At 37.7% G+C, this 19,819-nt stretch overlaps 1 protein-coding gene across 3 annotated transcripts in view; it reads right to left on the bottom strand.

The window, feature by feature from the left end:
• The window catches only part of DNAI3 (dynein axonemal intermediate chain 3), a 70,812-nt gene that overhangs the window by 12,704 nt on the left and 38,289 nt on the right, over positions 1-19,819 (bottom strand). For all 3 annotated transcript variants that reach the window (NM_145172.5, NM_001288563.2, XM_047444741.1), the window contains 4 exons: positions 15,838-15,911; positions 12,258-12,402; positions 10,300-10,387; positions 2,576-2,706 (listed from right to left, as the gene is read on the bottom strand). In NM_145172.5, coding sequence (NP_660155.2) covers positions 2,576-2,706; positions 10,300-10,387; positions 12,258-12,402; positions 15,838-15,911 — 438 coding nt within the window. The remainder of the gene's footprint in view (positions 1-2,575; positions 2,707-10,299; positions 10,388-12,257; positions 12,403-15,837; positions 15,912-19,819) is intronic.

The following is a 19,819-nucleotide window of genomic DNA, read 5'->3' as shown; positions in this document are numbered from 1 at the left end:
TAATTCTGTTACCCAACTCCACTTCTCTGACCCCTGTGTTGACATTCTTGGCCCCACTGCTCAGGCCCTTTTCATTTCTGGGCTGGCCCACCTGAAATCACCGCCTGCCTGTCTTCTCTCCCTCCAGGGTTCCACTCCCTTCCCTCAGCCCACGCCAGCCAGTCGAGATCCCAGTGATGCCTCCCTGAACATCTCTATCCAAAGTAGATGGATCAGCTGTGTCACAAGTTGGTAGAACCTTCCAATGGACTGCCAACACCATGAGGCCAGGGAATTTTGTCTGTTTGTTCAGTGCTATATCTACAGGGCCAAGAGCAATGCCTGGCATATATTAAATGTGCAGTGAGTATCTGTTGAGGGATGAGTAAAGAAATTCCAAGTAGGGCAAGGCCTCCAAAGGCAGGCAAGAGTTTGTATTAGGAGGATGAGAAAAAAGGCCGGGCACAGTGGCTCACGCCTGTAATCCCAGCACTTTGGGAGTCCAAGGCGAGCGGATCACCTGAGGTCAGGAGTTCAAGACCAGCCTGGCTAACATGGTGAAACACTGTCTTTACTAAAAATACAAAAAAATTAGCTGGGCATGGTGGCACACGCCTGTAATTCCAGCTACTCAGGAGGCTGAGGCAGGGGAATTGCTTGAACCTGGGAGGTGGAGGTTGCAATAAGCCGAGATCGTGCCACTACACTCCAGCCTGGGTGACAGAATGAGATTCCATCTCAAAAAAAAAAGAAAAAAGAAAAAAGGAAAAAACAGAGCTGCCAGAGTGAGAGGGAGGTTGGTGCAGATAAGGCAGAGAGATAGGCAGGGGACGAATCTTATAGGCCATGGTGTGAAGAGTCTGGATTTTATTCATGTTGTACTGAGTTGTCACTGAAGAGTTTGAGCAGGGGGTGTCATGCTTTAATTTCTGCTTTAAGATCTTGCAGTCACTGATTTTTCTAAATCTGGTCTGATGGTGTCATTCCCCTGCTTTATAAACTTTGGTGCACAAAAGGACAAATATTGTATAATTCCACTTACGTGAGGTATCTAGAATAGTCACATTCGTAGATACAGAAAGTAGATGGTGGTTACAAGTGGGTAGGGAAAGAAAGGAAGAGGGAGTTAGTGTTTAGTGCGTACAGACGCCCAGTTTGGGATGAGGAAAAGTTCTGGACATGGATGGTGGTGATGGTTGTACAATATGAATGTACTTTTCCAACAGATTATTGAACTCCTTTGGGAAAGGAGTTTCTTAATACCACTGAATTGTACATTTAAAAATGGCTAAGATGATTAATTTTATGTTACATATATTTTACCACAATTAAAAAAATTTTTTAAACTTTGCTGTGAAACCCAAGTTATAAAGCACATATTTATTTGGTAGTGTTGCATTGCTTACTAAATGAAACTCAAATTACCTAACACAGCAGGAAAGGCTCTTCAGTATTGGATTCCAACCAGGCATTCTAGACATACCTTTCCCTCTTACACCAAACTATTTCACTAACTCCAGACAAATACTGGGCTTTCATAACTCCAAATATTGTTCAGGCTGTTACTTCTGCTTGGAATTCTACTCTCAACCTGACCTTTGAGATTCCTTCTCAACCTCCAACATCCAAGCAGCCTGTGGGTCACCTTCCCCAACCTCCTTCTTCCTATCGGAATGGCCTCTGGACTGGTGTTGGTGTTTATCATGTGTCTGCTCCTCGACTAGGCAGAAAGTGCCTTGAGGAGAGAGGGACCATGCTATTCACTTCTGATCCCAGCACCCAGTGCTGTGCCTGAGACACAGTCATGTTCTCCAGAGCTTGTGGAATTGATTGCTTTCCTCTTCATACCAAAGTGTGGATGAAGATTGCATTCTGGTGAGACTGAGCTATGGCCTCTTCTCATGGTGACTTGGCCTGGGAAAAATACTCTGTATTTCAGGGAATGAGAGTCATGAGTGAAAAGAGCATCTCTGCCTCTGTATGACTGTAGATAAAGTTCTGAGCCTCATTTCTTCATTTATAAAATGGCAATAATAATACCAACCTTACAGGATTACTGGGATTAAATGGGATATAATTTGGAAAATAACTTGGCACAGACACTGATACATAGAAAATGTCCAGTAAATGTGAACTCGCTTTGGTTATTATTACAGTATGTCCTTAGAAAATGGCAGCCATTATCATTATTATATCCAATTGTTATTTATCTTTTGAAATGAGTGAGTTTTTTCTGTCTCTTCTACTAGATTGTGTTAGCCCAACAAAACACTATAGTTTCTTAGTAAATCTCTAACACTTAGTATGGTTTCTTCCAAATGATAAAGGTATTTGATGAATATTTGTAGATTGAACAATATATTATTAGTTAAAAAGTATGCAATTTTACAGATTTGTCCACATACGTTCAGGAACATTTTAAAGGTGAAACTATGAGGTATCAGAGTTAAAAATGTTTAATGCAAACAAGCATACTAAAATATGAAAATGGTATAACTTTTATGTCTTTACACAGCAAAAATGTACAGTAGATATTGTAATAACATATTTTAGTATAAATAAGTATTAATTTTAAAAGCAGATAATCCCAATTTACCTCTGTTCCCACAAAGAACTTTGTGCAGAAGTCATCTATTGGCTTGAGAAGATTGGCCATCCCACTTTCCAGATTATGATACGGGTTCATTTCTTCTGCCTTCTCTGTTTTGCTCTGTGCTAACATTTTGTCTTTCAGAGGAGTGTGGGTAGAAGAAGTACATATTTACAGGGAAACATCTTTTAAAATATAGACAGTTTACATTTTCTGCCCCTTGCCACCTGCATTTGCCCCATTCCCTTCCCAATGTAGTGAGCATAAGTCCAAGCATTTTTAGATTTCTAATTTAGCAAAAGAACCCTCTTTTGTTCCAAACCAAACATCAATGACTGTGCTATATTATAGCTCTAGCTATACCTGCACATAGTGTAAGAGCATAGGTAATTCGGGGGCTGAAACACAAACATCATCGGCAACCTGTTTCTTTTTAAAAGTATTTGATGTCACCTTGTTTTAAAAGTCTTTTTGTAATCTAAAATTAATAAATGTTATTTATTTAAGCCTTGGAGAATAAAGAAAAGCATGAGTAAAAGAACGAAAATCATCCATTATCATGTCTCCCAGAGATAATATTAAAATATTGTGACTTTTCTTGTAAATTCACTTTTTTTTAAAAAACTGGATAATATCCTATTTTAGTTTTATATGCTGCTTTTCTATTCTCTTAAAGCTATGTCCTAAACATTTTTCCAGGTAACTTACTAGATTTTTGAAAATATGATATTCAATTCCTGGGAAAGATGGTAGAGAAATATATGCTCATAAAACCCTCCTCTACCACACTTCCTCAATATGTCCTCTGAGTCATATTACCCAAGAGGAAACAAAAAGCCATAAAACCAACCAACAAACAGACAAGTGAAAACTAAAACAGGAGAATAAAACTTCAGCTATACTAAAAAGACATATTACATTTAAAAAAAACTTTAGCATAATTCTGGACAAAACTTAAAAATGATTATCATGATTTAGTTGGTATAGTCAACCAATACTCTCTTTGTTTTGGATCTACATGTTTTGAGACGTATCTTTTCCCACTAAGTAAGACATCAAAAACGAGTATCAAAATGAACCAAACATCGAACTAGATCTTTAAATAGCTGTATTACAAAGTGTAAACCAACATTTCAAACATGACTGGGCATATTCAATCACATTATTCTCATTAAAAGATATTATTTATAATACATGTAGGAAGAGCAAAAAGGCATTTTGTACCCATTTAATGTATACAATTAAAATCATTAAAATATTTATTTCAAATTCTTCACTCACATTTCAATGTCTGTTCCTCTCTTTTTAAATCATGTACACAAATATATTAGAGAAGTAGAATATGTATATAATTTGTAAATACATATACATACATTGAGAATCTGAACTCAGAAATGTTAAACAAGGGGCTATAAGATTAAAAGTGTGGAGACTTCTGGTCTCACAAGGGGAGACAAGACCCTGATCTATAGGGTTACAACTGATAATGAAAAGGAAGAGGCAAAGGTGCGATAAATGTAAAGGAAAACATGATTAACTTGAGTGAGAGACTGGAAGTGGAGGCCTGAAGAGAGAATCAGGAATGACTCAAGTTATCAATCCTGTTCTGGACACATTGACTTGGATAGGGTAGATTGGGTTTAAACCCAGGAGACAGCAAGAGTCAGATGGAGAATTCTCAGCAGAGATAAAAGTTAGAGCCATGCAGGTAGACTGTGTTACCAATGAGGAAAGTACACAGCTGAAGCTAAAGTTCAAGGTACATTCATGAGTAGATGGCAGCAAGGTGAAATGGAGCCAGGAAAGGAGATAGAGGAGGAATAACGGAAGAAGTAGCAGGATAGGAAAATCACAGATGCTAAGAGAAGTGTGCGCTCCAAGAAAATAGGCTGAGTTAATAGCATTTAATGTGGTAGAGCAGGGGTCTGCAGCCCCTGGGCCACAGATACTGGTTCGTGGCCTGGTAGGAACTGGTCAGCACAGCAGGAGACAAGCAGCAGGTGGGCGAAAGAGCATTACTGCCTGAGCAGTATGTCCTGTCAGACAGCAGCAGCATTACATTCTCACAGAAGCGTGAACACTATTGTGAACTGGACATTCAAGGGATCTAGGTTGCACGCTCCTTATGGGAATCTAATGCCTGCCCCCCTGCCCCCACCTCCCCCTGCCACCCAGTGGAGAAATTATCTTCCACAAAACTGGTCCCTGGTGCAAAAAAGGTTGGGGAAGGCTATGATAGAGTCAAAGAAGGTGAGGCTAGGGAAAAACGTTATTAACTATGTTTATTCAGAGTTGACGGGAATAACTTTGGATACTTAGATTCAAAATCATCCTCATAGGTCATGGATTTCCCATCCTTTGAGATAGTAATAATAACAGCATCTGACATTTATTGAATGCTTACTACATGCCAGGCACTAAAGTGTGTGCTTTATAGGAACCATTTCATTCAGTCCTCACAAGAACTTCCAGGTGGTTATGCATTCATCCTCCTCCAAGGATGAGTAAACTGAGGCTTAGAGAGATTAAGTAATTTATGCAAGGTCTCACACATGGTAGTTAACATTTGCTGTGTGTTGACTATGTGCTATTCTGAGAGCTTCGTGTATAACTCATTTCATCTTCACAACACCCTATGAGGTAGTTCTCTTTATTATTTACTCCCCTCATCTTCCTCACTCTATTTTCAAATGGATTTAAAAGCAAAAAAACAACTAAGGTACAGAGAGGTAAAGTAATTTAACTTGGTCAAATAATACATTGTGGCTTTGGGATTTAAACCCAGACCATCAACTCCAGAATCTACCGTCATAGCTGCTATGCCACATTGCTTAGAAGAATATATGTCAGGCTCTAAAGGCTATTCCAACAGAGGAATTCCAAAAGCATTTAGAGCAAGGGTTTCCTTATCAGAATAAATACAGAATTTCTTAAAGTGACCACTTAGAAGAGCATGGGTTGTCATGGACCTAAAATGGCAGACAAAGGGTGGGTGGTCCCTGGCCATTAGATAGTGACAGAGTACCAGACACTGACACTAAGTCTCAACAGGCCTCAAGAGAAAATGGTGGGATAGCGAGGACTTGTGATACAGTCAAAGGAGAAACCAGTACAGGATCAAGAATCAAAATGTGATCAAGAACCTTATGAGTATATTCTAGTTAACAGGGCCAAGTCTGGTCAGAATGGGCGGATAGTCGGCAGTGTGACCAAAGGAAATCTGAAATACCATAGTTGATCTCAAAGTCTTGAAAGCTGGCCATTCACACAGGAGGCAGATCATGGCCATAGAGTGACCTTCCTCCAAAGATCAGGAACAAAACAGGGATGTCCACTCTCACACTTCATTTAACATTCTGGAGGCTCTACACAGTGCAATCAGGTAAGAAAAAAATAATCATCCAGATTGGAAAAGAAGTAAAACTGTCTCTATTTGCAAATGACATTATTATCTATATAGAAAACTCAGTATGTCTAAAAGAAGCCACTATAACTAGTAAGAGATTTTAGCAAGATTTCAGGATACAAAATTAATATTCAAAGATAAATTGTAGGCCAGGCGTGGTGGCTCATACCTGTAATCCCAGCACTTTGGGAGGCCAAGGCAGGTGGATTACCTGAGGTCAAGAGTTCGAGACCAGCCTGGCCAACATGGTGAAACCCCATCTCTACTAAAAATACAAAAATTAGCCTGGTGTGGTGGTACATGCCTGTGGTCCCAGCTACTCGGGAGGCTGAGGCAGGAGAATCACCTGAACTCAGGAGATGGAGGTGCAGTGAGCCAAGGTCATACCACTGCACTCTAGCCTGGGCGACAGAGCAAGACTCCTTCTCAAAAAAAAAAAAAAAAGATACAAATTGTATTTTTATACACTGGCAGTGAACAATTGGAAATTAAAAAAATTTAAGTACCGTTAACAAGAGCACCAAAAAATATGAAGAATATAGAAATAAACCTGTCAAAAGAGGTGAAAGACCTGTACACTGTAAAATACAAAACATATCTGAGAAATTAACGACCTAAATAAACGAACAGATATACTGTGTTTATGGGTTAGAAGACTCATTTTGTTAGACGCTAATTCTCATAATACTGACCTACAGATTCAATACAATCTCAGTCAAAATCACAGCTAGCTTTTTATGCATAACAAGCTGTTCCTAAAATTCACATGGAAAAGCAAAAAACTTACAACAGTCAAAAACTACTTTGAAAAAAAAAAGGTTGGAAAACTAACACTATCTAATTTCAAGACTAATTATAAAGCTAGCATAATCAAAACAGTGTCGTATTGCTCTAAAGATAGGTCAATGGAACAGAATAGAGTTTAGAAATAGACTCACATATATATGGACAAGTGTTTTTTGACAAAGGTGCAAAGCAGTTCAGTAGAAAGAGGATGGTGTATTCAACAAATGGTGTGGGAATACCATACACAAAAAAATGAACTTTGATCCATAACATATACCAATTACAAAAATTAACTCAAAAGAAATCATAGCCCTAAATGTAAAACCATAAAACTAGAAAAATTAGGAAAAAACATTGGCAACTGTGGGCTAGGCAAACATTTCTTAAATTCAACACCAAAACCATGATCCACAAAAGAATAAATTGATAAGCTGGACTTCCTCAAAATTAAAAACTTCTGATTTTCAAAAGACTGCTAAGAGATGAGACAACAAATCACAGACTAGGAGAAAATATTTAAAAATCACATATCACTAGTCCTGAGAAAGAACTAGTATATAAGATATATTAAGAACTCTCAGAATTCAATAATAAGAAAACAAACAGGCCAGATGTGGTGGCTCACATCCATAATCCTGGAACTTTGGGAGGCCGATTTGGGCAGATTGCTTGAGGACAGGAGTTCGAGACCAGCCTGGCCAACATGGCAAAACCCTGTCTCTACTAAAAATATGAAAATTAGCTGGGCTTGGTGGCACATGCCTATAATCCCAGGTACTCGGTTGGCTGAGGCATGAGAATCACTTGAACCCAGAGGCAGAGGTTGCAGTGTGCCGAGACCATGCTACTGCACTCCAGTCTGGCCAGCAGAGCGAGACTCTGTCTCAAAAATAAAAATAAAACAAACAACCCAACTGATAAATGGGCAAAAGATTTGAACAGACACTTAACCAGGGAAGATATACAGGTGGCAAAAAACATGCGAAAATTTGCTTGACAACTTAAGTCATTAGGTAAGTGTAAATGAGATCCGACTGTATATTTTAGAATGGTTAAATTAAAAGGATTAACCATATCAACTGTTGGCAAGGATGTGGAGAAAATGGAACTCTCCATACACTGCTAGTGGGAATGTAAACTGGTAAAACTGGAAAATGCTTTGGCAGTTTCTGAAAAAGTAAAACATACACCTGCCATATAATACAACCATTCTATTCCTAGGGATGTACCCAGGAAAATATGAAGGCATATGTCTATACAAAGACTTGTACATGAATGTTCATAAAAGCTTTATTTGTAATAGGTCTACGCTAAAAATCCAAATGTTTATCAACAGGTGAATGGATAAACCACTGTTGTGTATCCATACAATGAAATGCCACTCTGTAATAAAAAGGATTCATTCAGACAACATGAATTAATTCTAAAATAATCATGCTGATTAAAAGAAGCCAGATTGCTGCATGTGGTGGCGCATGCTTGTAGTCCTGGCTACTCAGGAGGCTAAGACAGGAGGATTGCTTGAGCCCAGGAGTTAGACGCTGCAGTGAACTATGATCATGCCCCTCCATGCCAGCCTGGGTGACAGAGTGAGCCCCCATCTCTTAAAAAAAAAAAGAGTATATACTGTATGATTTACATAAAATTCTAGATAATGAAAACTAATGTATAGTGACAGAAAGTAGATCCGTTGTGGCCTGGGAGTGAGGGAGGTGCTGGAGGGAAGTGTCCCAAAGGGAATTCCTCTATGAATAAACTTTTGGGAGTGGTGAATATGTTCATTATCTTGATTATGTTGATGGTTTCATGGGTGTGTACATATGTCAAAGCATATCAAATTAAACACTTTGACAATATGCAGTTCATTGTATGTCAATTATACCTCAGTGTGGTTGTTAAAAATGAATAAAAACCCCTCACACTTTAAAAGAGATACTGATATCCTTCCTATAAACTGGATAAAGGTAGTCTCATCCTCCTGGCCACCTGTTTTCATTAGGTTAAAAAATAATACTAGGACATTTAATAAAGTTACCTTTTTACAAGTTATATTAACCTCTCTCAGCCTTGGTTTTCTTAATTATAAAATGGTAATGGAAATTCCCAGCTTGCAGATTGTTGTGATCATTAGCATCTGTTTTTGCTCACCATCGTACCCCTGGGGCCTAGCACAAAGTAAGCAAATTACAAATATCTGTTAAATGAATGAAAGTATGTGCAATAGTAGCACCGTACCTGAACCATGGCTGGAATGTGATACATTATAACCAATGATCAAATACAAAAGAGGAGGAAAAGAAGGAAGAGGAGGAGAGGTGGAGAAGGAGAAAACTCCCGTTAGATTCCCTCTAGAATGAAGCAGGCCCTAATAGAGAAACAGCATGCAATGTTTTAATAATGCTTTGACAATGTCTATAAAAGTTTAGTGAATCAGTATTTTTTAGCATGAGGTTTTGGGTTATATCAATAAAACACATGGCTTCAAAGTGAAATTTTGCTCAAGCTGGGTATTAGGTATGTGTTTTTCTTAGATATTCTATCATTTAACATTGAAAAATTCATAAATGGAAATCCTTTTGATAAGGCGAATGTTTGGGAAATATTTCAATTGCTAGTTATTCTCGAACATTTTCATTATGCATTGCTCTCCAGGTGGGATATTCATGCATACCTTTATCTTAATAGTTTTGACAGCTTATATGTGCCCCCTTCAATTATTTCAGCAAAGATGTGTGGGTTGAGTTGAGATAGATTTAAAAGTCAGTTTTCTTTCTTTATTCAGTTTTATCTTGGTGCCATATAAATATTATTTTTAAAAATTATATTCTAATTGAGAATGGTAATTTGTTTCTTGATACTTCATAACTTATTTTACTAGACTTCAGATGTGTTCCATCCTATAGCATTATTCTTTGAGCATGTAACATTCATTAAGTGGGCTTCATTTTATTTTAATGTAATGAGTTTTTGAAGACACATAAATGTGCTCAATAAATATTTTGAGAAGCTGAAATGAACTGAATCTTTTTTGTGTATAGGCAATTTTAATGCGTTGGCAATAGCTATTATTGCCATTATAAAGTTCCACATTGGAGGGTTTGATTTTCTGTATTCTTTTTACAAATTAGACTATCCTAGTGAGTAACTCACGTTAGTCATAATCAGCTACTAACACTCAAATTAGTAAATGTATTTATTTATTTATTTATTTATTTATTTATTTGAGATGGAGTCTCGCTCTGTTGCCCGGACTGGAGTACAGTGGCACGATCTCGGCTCACTGCAAGCTCTGCCTCCCGGGTTCACGCCATTCTCCTGCCTCAGCCTCCGGGATAGCTGGGACTACAGGCGCCCGCCACTAAGCCCGGCTAATTTTTTGTAGTTTTAGTAGAGACGGGGTTTCACCGTGTTAGCCAGGATGATCTCGATCTGCTGACCTCGTGATCCGCCCGCCTCAGCCTCCCGAAGTGCTGGGATTACAGGCGTGAGCCACCGCGCCCGGCCTTTTTTTTTTTTTTAAATAAGCAAAGGCAGTTACCTTGTGTTTTGCAAAGAAGATGGTCTTCATTCAGGCTTATCTTGGTTGGACAGTGGTCTAAACTTGTTTCACCCTTGGACAGCCTTACCTTTTGGGAGAACATATAGCAAAGATTATTTCCACATATCCTGAAATTATCCTTGGGTAATTTATTCTTGCCTTTCCCTTCTGCTCCCATATTGAAGGAAACCCACCTCCTTTTTTTTCTTCCTTCCCTTTCCTCCCTCAAATTTCTAGTTTCTTTCCTCCATGGAAAGCACCTAAACCACATTTCTAAACCCAGCTACAGAAAGGAGCTTGTCTGAGGACACATTTCCACATCCCAAATTCTCATGTGTCATTTTCTTTCTGAAAAATGCCTTGTATTGTATTCCATAATACATCCTTAAGAGTTTTAATATAAAATAATTACTTGTTACCCTGTTCCCTAAATCATTCAGTTAAATGAGACCCCAGAAAGTTGTGCAGGGACCTTGCATCTGCTTGGCCACCTCCAAGTCCTCTCAGGAACACATGCACTGGAGTTCCAGAAGGCCCTGGGCCTGCACTGCATCCTGGTGGCTGGAAAGAGAAACTGTCACACTTCACAGTTTTCCCTCACAGCTCCCTCAGCCCTTTCTCCTTCAGGATGTTTGTCCACATGCTATGCAATTATTCTTAGATGAGTTTGGGGTTGTTTGTTTGAACTATTCATAGCTCAGTAGATCCTACCCCCAGTCCCCCAAATTTATAATCTTCTCTTTCCAATTATTTCCCAGTTATCTCAGCAATATTCTTATTCCTCCATGTTCTCTCTTCCATTGGGAGCAAATACAAAATAATATAATTCTTGTGATATTTATAAATCAGAAGAAAAGTATTAAGTTAAACTTAAAACTAGACATTCTAAAGAAAGAGAGCCATCAAGTTTGAAGTCCATTTATATTTTCCACACATATCTTGTCCATAGCCATATTTTTCTCAAATTAAAACTGCTTTTCTTCAAGCTCTGCTATGTGAGATAAATACAAACAACTTCTCATTCAGTTAATTTTCAGTTCTGTTTGGTCATAGGTATTATCAAGCTTTCCGTGGTCTAATATCCCAAAAAACGTACAGAAGGAACAATACCAGTTCCTTCTATTGATAGGCAAAATTTTGATAGGCAGAATTTTGGCTACAGTAGGGAGGAAAATTAGCTTTTCTGGACTAACTTGAGCACCAACCAATTTTCAGGCAACTGACATGCTATTGGATAATTATTACACACACCATTTGGAAATTGTGGCTTGTTTATACATGAAATATCAATCTTGAATTCATGATGATTTTGATTTCTACCTGGATCTAAAGAGGCATCAAAATAACTTGTAAGGGGGAAGGAAAGAAGGGAGGCAAAGGTTGAAAAACCACCTATTGGGTACTATGTTCACTACCTGGGTGATGGGTTCAGCAGAAGCCCAAACCCCAAAATTATACAATATAACCATGGGACAAACCTGCACATGTACCCCCTGAATCCAAAAATAATAATTAAAAAATAATGAGAGCTTGAAGCTCTCCCAGGAACTCTGAAACTTATCATTGTTATTGGCACAGTTAGAATGACTGAAATGTTTTTCTGCTCCCTTTTTCTGTATATTGCAAACATCAGCTACATCAGCAACCATATACTTCTTCATTGTCAGCTTTCCAAAGTAAATCTGTGTAAATCATACACAGTGTATGTGTGTATTACACAGATTACACAAAGTAAATCTGTGTAAATATATACAATAACATGTATCAATTAAAAATAAAATAAAACTAAAAATCCTCCCAATCAAGGAATTTATTGGTTGAATAAACACAAATTGTACAGTCTTGTGTTAATCTGAGCTGCTCTACTTTTAGAGAGTGTGTGTATATGTATGTCTATGCATGCAAAGTAAATAGTGTATTATGCAAGCAGGATGGACTAAAAACCCCACATTACTTACCTTAGTGAGAGGTTTCCAGGAGAGATCCAGATGCAAAAAAGTAGATGGTACATCAAAAGGAATTTCAATACTTTCCTCCTTCTTTTTCTCTGTTGTTTGGGGGGTTAAAGGTTTCTGTGGTCTAATATCCCAAAAACATATTGTGCTAAAAAAAATTTATATATATTTTTTATTAAGTACAAACAAGAGGTGCAGCCTCAGGACTACCATTAATGCTGCTACATATTAGCATTGTGACCATGGCTATATTTTAATGTATCTGAAACTAAGATTTTTATGAAACAAGACAGCTTTGTACTTTATATTTTAGAGAATTAAACTGTTTATTGAGTTAACAGCCTCCCTCATCTTGGGACTAATAACATATGAGAATTGAGTTTGATGCAATCTTTTAAAAATGTAAGTTTTATTTAGATATAAATCATATACTACAACATTCATCCAATTAAAGTGTATAACTCAATGGTTTTCAATATAGTCACAGAGTTGGGAAGCCATCACCACAATCAATTTTAGAAGATTTTCATCACACTCTCCCACCTCACCAAAAAACCTCATGCAGATTAGCAGTTGCTTCCTATTAGCAGTTTTTCCCAAGCCATCCCACCAGCCCTAGACAACTACTGATCTGCTTCTTAGCTCTATAGATTTTACTATGCTGGACATTTAATAAAATGAATCATATATGGTCTTTTGTAACTGCCATTTTTCTCTTAGCATGTTTTTAAGGCTCATTTGTGTTGTGGCTGGCACGTATCAGGACTTCGTTACTCCTTACTGATGAATATTCCATTGTGTGGGTATACTACATTTTATGTATCCACTCATCAGTACATTTGATAAATAAATTTGAATTCTGCACCTCCCCACCACAGCTTTTTCACTATTATAAATGCTGCCAGTGAACATTTGTATATGTTTGCATTTCTCTTGGGTGTATCTAGGACTGGAATTGCTGGGTTAAATGGTAACTCTGTGTTTAATCTTTTGAGGAACTGCCAGATTGTTTTCCAAAGCAACTGCACCATTTTTACATTCTATCAGCAATGTGTAATCACTACAATTTATCCAAATCTCTGCACGTTCACCAACACTTGTTGCTTTTTGTCTTTTGATTATAGCCATTGTAGTGGGTATAAAGTTGTATTTCATCAAAAGTAGTTTTGGGTTGCATTTGTGCTTTTGTTGTAATGTCTAAGAAATCACCCCTCAATTCAAAGTCATGAAGATACGTGACTATGTTTTCTTCTAAGAGTTTTCTAGTTTTAGCTCTTACATTTAGGTCATTATTCCATTTTAAACGTTTGTATATAGGGTGAGATAGGAATCCAACGTTATATTTTGCACGTGGATATCCAGTTGTCCCAGCACCATTTGTTGAAAAGATTATTCTTTATCCATTGAATTGTCTTGGCATCCTTGTTGAAAATCAGTTGGCCAAAGATGTATGGGTTCATTTCTGGACTCTCAGGTCTATTTCATTGATCTATGTATCTATTGTTATGCTAGTTCTAGTACATCTGTCTCTATTACTATAGCTTTGTAGACAGTTTAGAAATTTGGAAGTGTGAGTCCTCCAACTTTTTTCTTCCTTGACAAGATTGTTTTGGCTATTCTAGGTCTCATTATTTGCCTTCCCCTGACAGCTAATGATATTGAGCATCTTTTTATGTGCTTATTGACCATTTGTGTATCTTCTTTGGGGAAATATCTACTGAGAACCTTTGTTCACTTTTTAATTGGGTCATTTGGGTTTTTATTGTTGCATGGTAAGAGTTCTTTTATATATTCTGGATACAAGTCTTTTATCAGATATATGATTTGTAAATATTTTTTCCTATTCTGTGGTTGTCTTTGCACTTTATTGGTAGTAACTTTGGAAGCTCAAAAAGTTTTAATTTTGATGAAGTCCAATTTATCTATTTTTTTCTTTCATTGCTTGCACTTTTGGTGTTTCATCAAAGTTACATAATCTTAAAAGTGATATAGTGAAAATAACATACACAGAGTTGGATATAATGTGCTTTGTACACAGTAGGCACCCAACAAGACAAGAAGTACCCAGGCTGGAGTGCAGTGGCATGATCTCGGCTCACTGAAACCTCCGCCTCCTGGGTTCAAGTGATTCTCCTGCCTCAGTCTCCTGAGTAGCTGGGACTACAGGCATGTGCCACCATGCCCAGCTAATTTTTTGTATTTTTAGTAGAGACGGGGCATTCTAGTGGTTCTTTGGGGAACCACCCCGTTCTCCATTACATGCAGTCAGGTTGGGATCGTCACTCAAGGTGCTCTGTCATTTCTTTCCTGGCTAAAGGGATGGGTTCATGATACAGTAGGAGCCAGGCACACCCCTTCCAGTTAATTTGAATCTTGAGCAGCGGGACACAATGATTGGCACTGATTCATTCAGAGAAAAGGGGCTGGCCATTTGTTCCTGCTACCCAAATCTCTGGGGCTGTTTCCAAGGCCCAAGTCAGCTCTTCCTTTGATTCAGGAATGTCATTACTTACTAGCTACAATATAGGACATTCAGTAGTGTTACATATAACTCACTCTATATTTAGTCAGCTATAGGTGGAATATGAATTTGCCTTCAGAGCCTCATATTTTCTTTTCTTTCTTTCTTTTTCTTTTTCTTTTTTTTTTTTTGAGACAGAGTTTCACTCTTGTTGCCCAGGCTAGAGTGCAATGGCGCAATCTCGCACCTCATATTTTCTATCTGTAAATATTTTTCAGGGTTGTTGCAAATATAAAAATAGTTAACCCATTAAAGCACTCAGTAGAGTATTGGCATAAATATCCAATACATTTATTTCCAATAAGCTTATTTCTTTCCCTTAAGTTAGCCACAGTCAATTCTCATTGCCTGTAGTCACAGAATCTTCCCCAACACATGCTCACAGGATTAATCATGTCTCCCTCATCCCTGGCCCATGGCTGCTACTAACATCACTTGTGCCTTCTTCTGCCACTCCACACCTTTTTCTGTGGCGTATGGTGTCATTGTTTCCACTGGGGTCAAAGGATTTGGAATGGGAAAGTTTGTCCAACATTTGGATGCTAGATAATGATATTACTCTTCATATTTCCTGTTTCATTACGAATTCTTAGTTCTATAAACTGGGAGATGTAATTTTATTTAAGTAAATCTTCTTCAAAGTAGCTACCGAGTTGTTTATAAAAACACTTTTTATAAATATACAATAAAAATGTAAAAACTCTTCTACTTTTAAAAAGAGGCTTTCCCAATTAAATGTTGTAATCTTCAAAATTCTTAGATAAAACTGAATATAAATAACATATATTACAAATTTACAAATATGAGAATGTGAAGAAGAACTATGGATAATGCTATACAACGTTATCAACCACAAAGCTTAGTTAATTCTTCTTTACATAACATTTAACTCTATAAAACAATTTTTAAGCTAGCAACAATCCATAACATTCTTTCATTTAGTTATATTAGATTTAATTGCTACCATAAATATTAAGGAGAAGAAGACACTGATTTTAGGAGCATCGAAGAAAAAACACCATGTATGAAAACACATTAGGAAATGTTTGAAACAAGACTTACCAATCTGCTGAACATGTGACAAGTTGACAGCATATTCCACTTCGATTCTCAAAGACGGAGCCCATTCTGTTAATCTATTTTTCAAAAATGAAAGAGAAATAAAATTGTTTTTCTCATAGCTATTTACCTTTTAAATTCTTTTCTTCTTTGTTTTAAATGTTAATAAAAGAACATACCGGCCGGGGGCAGTGGCTCACGCCTGTAATCCCAGCATTCTGATAGGCTGAGGCAGGGAGGATCACGAGGTCAGGAGCTAGAGACCATTCTGGCTAACACGGTGAAAGCCTGTCTCTACTAAAAATACAAAAAATTAGCCGGGCGTGGTGGTGGGCGCCTGTAGTCCCAGCTAGTCCAGAGGCTGAGGCGGGAGAACGGCGTGAACCCGGGAGGTGGAGCATGCAGTGAGCCGAGATGGTGCCATCGCACTCCAGCCTGGGCGACAGAGCGAGACTCCAGCCCAAAAAAAAAAAAAAAAAAGGACATACCACTATCTCAGAAGTTTGTGAAACAGAAGGTTTAAAATTAAATACAATTCTGCAACATATTCTTGTCTAGTCTTTTGTCACAGAAACATTTTTACATAGTAGTAATTAGAATGCATATACATTTTTATACTGAGATTTTTCCCTCCACATAATTTGAACATTTACCTATATATTCATAAATTATTATTATTATTATTATTATTATTATTATTATTATTATTATTTTGAGAAGGCATCTCATTCTGTGCCCCAGGTTGGAGTACAGTGGCACAATCTCAGCTCACTGCAACCTCAGCCTCCCAGGTTCAAGTGATTCTCCTGGGTCAGCCTCCTGAGTAGCTGGGATTACAGGCATGTGCCACCATGCCCAGCCAATTTTTGTATTTTTAGTAGAGACGGGGTTTCGCTATGTTGGCCAGGCTAGTTTGGAACCCCTGGCCTCAAGTGATCCACCCACCTCGGCCTCTGAAAATGCTGGGATTAGAGGCATGAGCCATGCGCCCGGCCTCATAAATTATTTTAATCCTTTTATAATATACGGATGATATACCACCATTTCATTACCCATTATTATTAGAAATGTAGGCTCTGTCAGTTTTTCACTGAATTGTGCAGTCGAACATAGAGGCTTTTATGAGGTTGCTAAGCAGGTAAGATCAATGGGAAAGAGGCTAAGTGTTAAATGAGACGCCAAATAAAAGTGTGCCATGACTGTTGTAAGACCTGACCTTTTTGTAATCACGGGCATAAGTCTGCATGCACACAGAGGATTCACAGGAGGGTTTATGGTTCCTCAGGTCCTAGAAGGTCCAAAATTCCAACCCACTAGCTCTCAAAGCAGGCAGCAGGCTTTGAGGCAACCTGTGAAGATGCCACTCTGGAACTGAGAGGGAAACGCATGACTTTCCTCAATTCTCTAACCTCCTGAAAGAACTGATGAGCAAAATAATAAACAGAGGTGGGGCTTCTAGCAGCAAATGAAGTTAGGTGAAAACAGGGGTGGGGAAGGTATAGGTGGCACCTGGGTCATGTCTGCAGGCATCCAGAAGCCAAACAATCACAAACCTGATGGACATCTCTGTGGCCTGAACTACCAACTTCCACTCATTCCAGAACCTGCATGGTGTTACCTCTCTCTCTACTGAGGCTTTTCTGCTATAATGAAGTCAGAGACCCCAGAGATGTGCTTGCTCTGAGGTTTTATGTTTTAATGACTAAAAATCCAAAAACATAACAGTATTATAGAAGTTTGGAAAACAGAATATTTTAGAATCATATATAATTCTCCCGTATATTCTCTTCCAGTCTTCTTTCATGGAAACACTGTGACATGATTTTTCAAGGTATGCATATAATTTTGTATCTAGAGATACAAATTGGATCATTTCTTAGTATGAATTCTCTAAAATTGGAATTACTGGTCAAACAGTTTGAAAATCTGGATGACTTAAGAACCACCTTGACTAACTGCATTCCAAAAGTTTTATGTTGAAATCAGCAATGTGTTCTGGTTTCACCACTTTATTCTTTTTAACATATTAATCACATTTTTCATTTAAAAATTAAATAAATCCAAAATGGCACATTATTGTTGCCTTACTATTAATTTCTTTGATATTAGAAAGGCTGAATGATTTTCATGTTGATTTACTGTTTTATTTTATATGTCTTTTGCTTATTTATGAAAAATTTTTATATTTACCATATTTGGTACAAATATTTTCCTCCATTTTGTTATTTCTTCTTTACTTTTTATTTTTTATTGATGCATAGCCGATGGACATATTTGGGGGGTATATGTGATATACTGATACATTCATATAATGTTTAAAGATGAAATCAGGGTATTTGGGCTATCCATTACCTTAAGTAATAATATTTATTTTCTTTATACTAGGAACAGTCAAATTATTCTCTTCTAGCTATTTTGTAATATATAATAGATTATTGTTAATTATAGTCACCCTACTAATCTGTCAAACACTGGGTCTTATTTCTTCTATCTAACTGTATATTTGTACCCATTAATTAACCTCTCTTTATCCCTCTCATTATTTAATTTTTTGTTTGTTTGTTTTTACATAGATACGGGGTTTCGCCATGTTGCCCAGGCTGGTCTTAAACTCCAAGTCATCCTCCTGCCTCAGCCTCCTAGTGTTGGAATTATAGGTATGAATGAGCCACCATGCCTGGCCTCTCATTATTTCTTAATTTAGAAATTTATATGTGTATATTTTGAATCTGTCAATCATTCCTTTCTGATTTCTTTCAACATTAATCATCTTTGAAAACTATCTTCATTCCAGAGTCTGATACTCTATTTTGATTTTATTGTATTTTTGTATGATTTGTTATTTTCCTTTTTTTTTTTTTTTTTTTTTTTTTGAGATGGAGTCTCGCTCTGTCGCCCAGGCTGGAGTGCAGTGGCGCGATCTCGGCTCACTGCAAGCTCCGCCTCTCCGGTTCACACCATTCTCCCGCCTCAGCCTCTGGAGTAGCTGGGACTACAGGCGCCCGCCACCACGCCCGGCTAATTTTGTTTTTGTAATTTTAGTAGAGACGGGCTTTCACCATGTTAGCCAGGATGGTCTCCATCTCCTGACCTCGTGATCTGCCCGCCTCGGCCTCCCAAAGTGCTGGGATTACAGGCGTGTGAGCCACTGCGCCCAGCCTGTTATTTTCATTTAAATTTAAAATCATCTCAGTTAAATTGCATGCATGGTGTGTGTTGAAATGGAAGTGATATGAAGTTCCTTTACTTGTATTACAACTCCCATTATTATATGTAAACTTTTAACATATCACAGAAACTATACGTGGGCTATTTATTTTGGTTCATTATGACTTTTAAAAGTATCATTGCTTTGCATCATCCATTTGAATACCTCTTAAAACTGGTATAATGATAATCACCTCTTACAACTCTAATTTCTCAGAATATTCTTTTTTTTATGTTCAAGTGCTATTTCTTTTTTTTTAATTTTATTATTATTATACTTTAAGTTTTAGGGTACATGTGCACAATGTGCAGGTTTGTTACATATGTATACATGTGCCATGTTGGTGTGCTGCACCCATTCACTCGTCATTTAGCATTAGGTATATCTCCTAATGCTATCCCCCCTCCTCCCCCCACCCCACAACAGTCCCCAGAGTGTGATGTTCCCCTTCCTGTGTCCATGTGTTCTCATTGTTCAATTCCCACCTATGGGTGAGAACATGCGGTGTTTGGTTTTTTGTCCTTGCCATAGTTTGCTGAGAACGATGGTTTCCAGTTTCATCCATGTCCCTACAAAGGACATGAACTCATCATTTTTTATGCCTGCATAGTATTCCATGGTGTATATGTGCCACATTTTCTTAATCCAGTCTATCATTGTTGGACATTTGAGTTGGTTCCAAGTCTTTGCTATTGTGAATAGTGCCGCAATAAACATACGTGTGCATGTGTCTTTATAGCAGCATGATTTATAATCCTTTGGGTATATACCCAGTAA

The sequence above is a fragment of the Homo sapiens genome, chromosome 1, assembly GCF_000001405.40.
Source record: "Homo sapiens chromosome 1, GRCh38.p14 Primary Assembly".
Classification (NCBI taxonomy): domain Eukaryota; kingdom Metazoa; phylum Chordata; class Mammalia; order Primates; family Hominidae; genus Homo; species Homo sapiens.
This window is presented reverse-complemented; position numbering and strand designations above follow the sequence as displayed.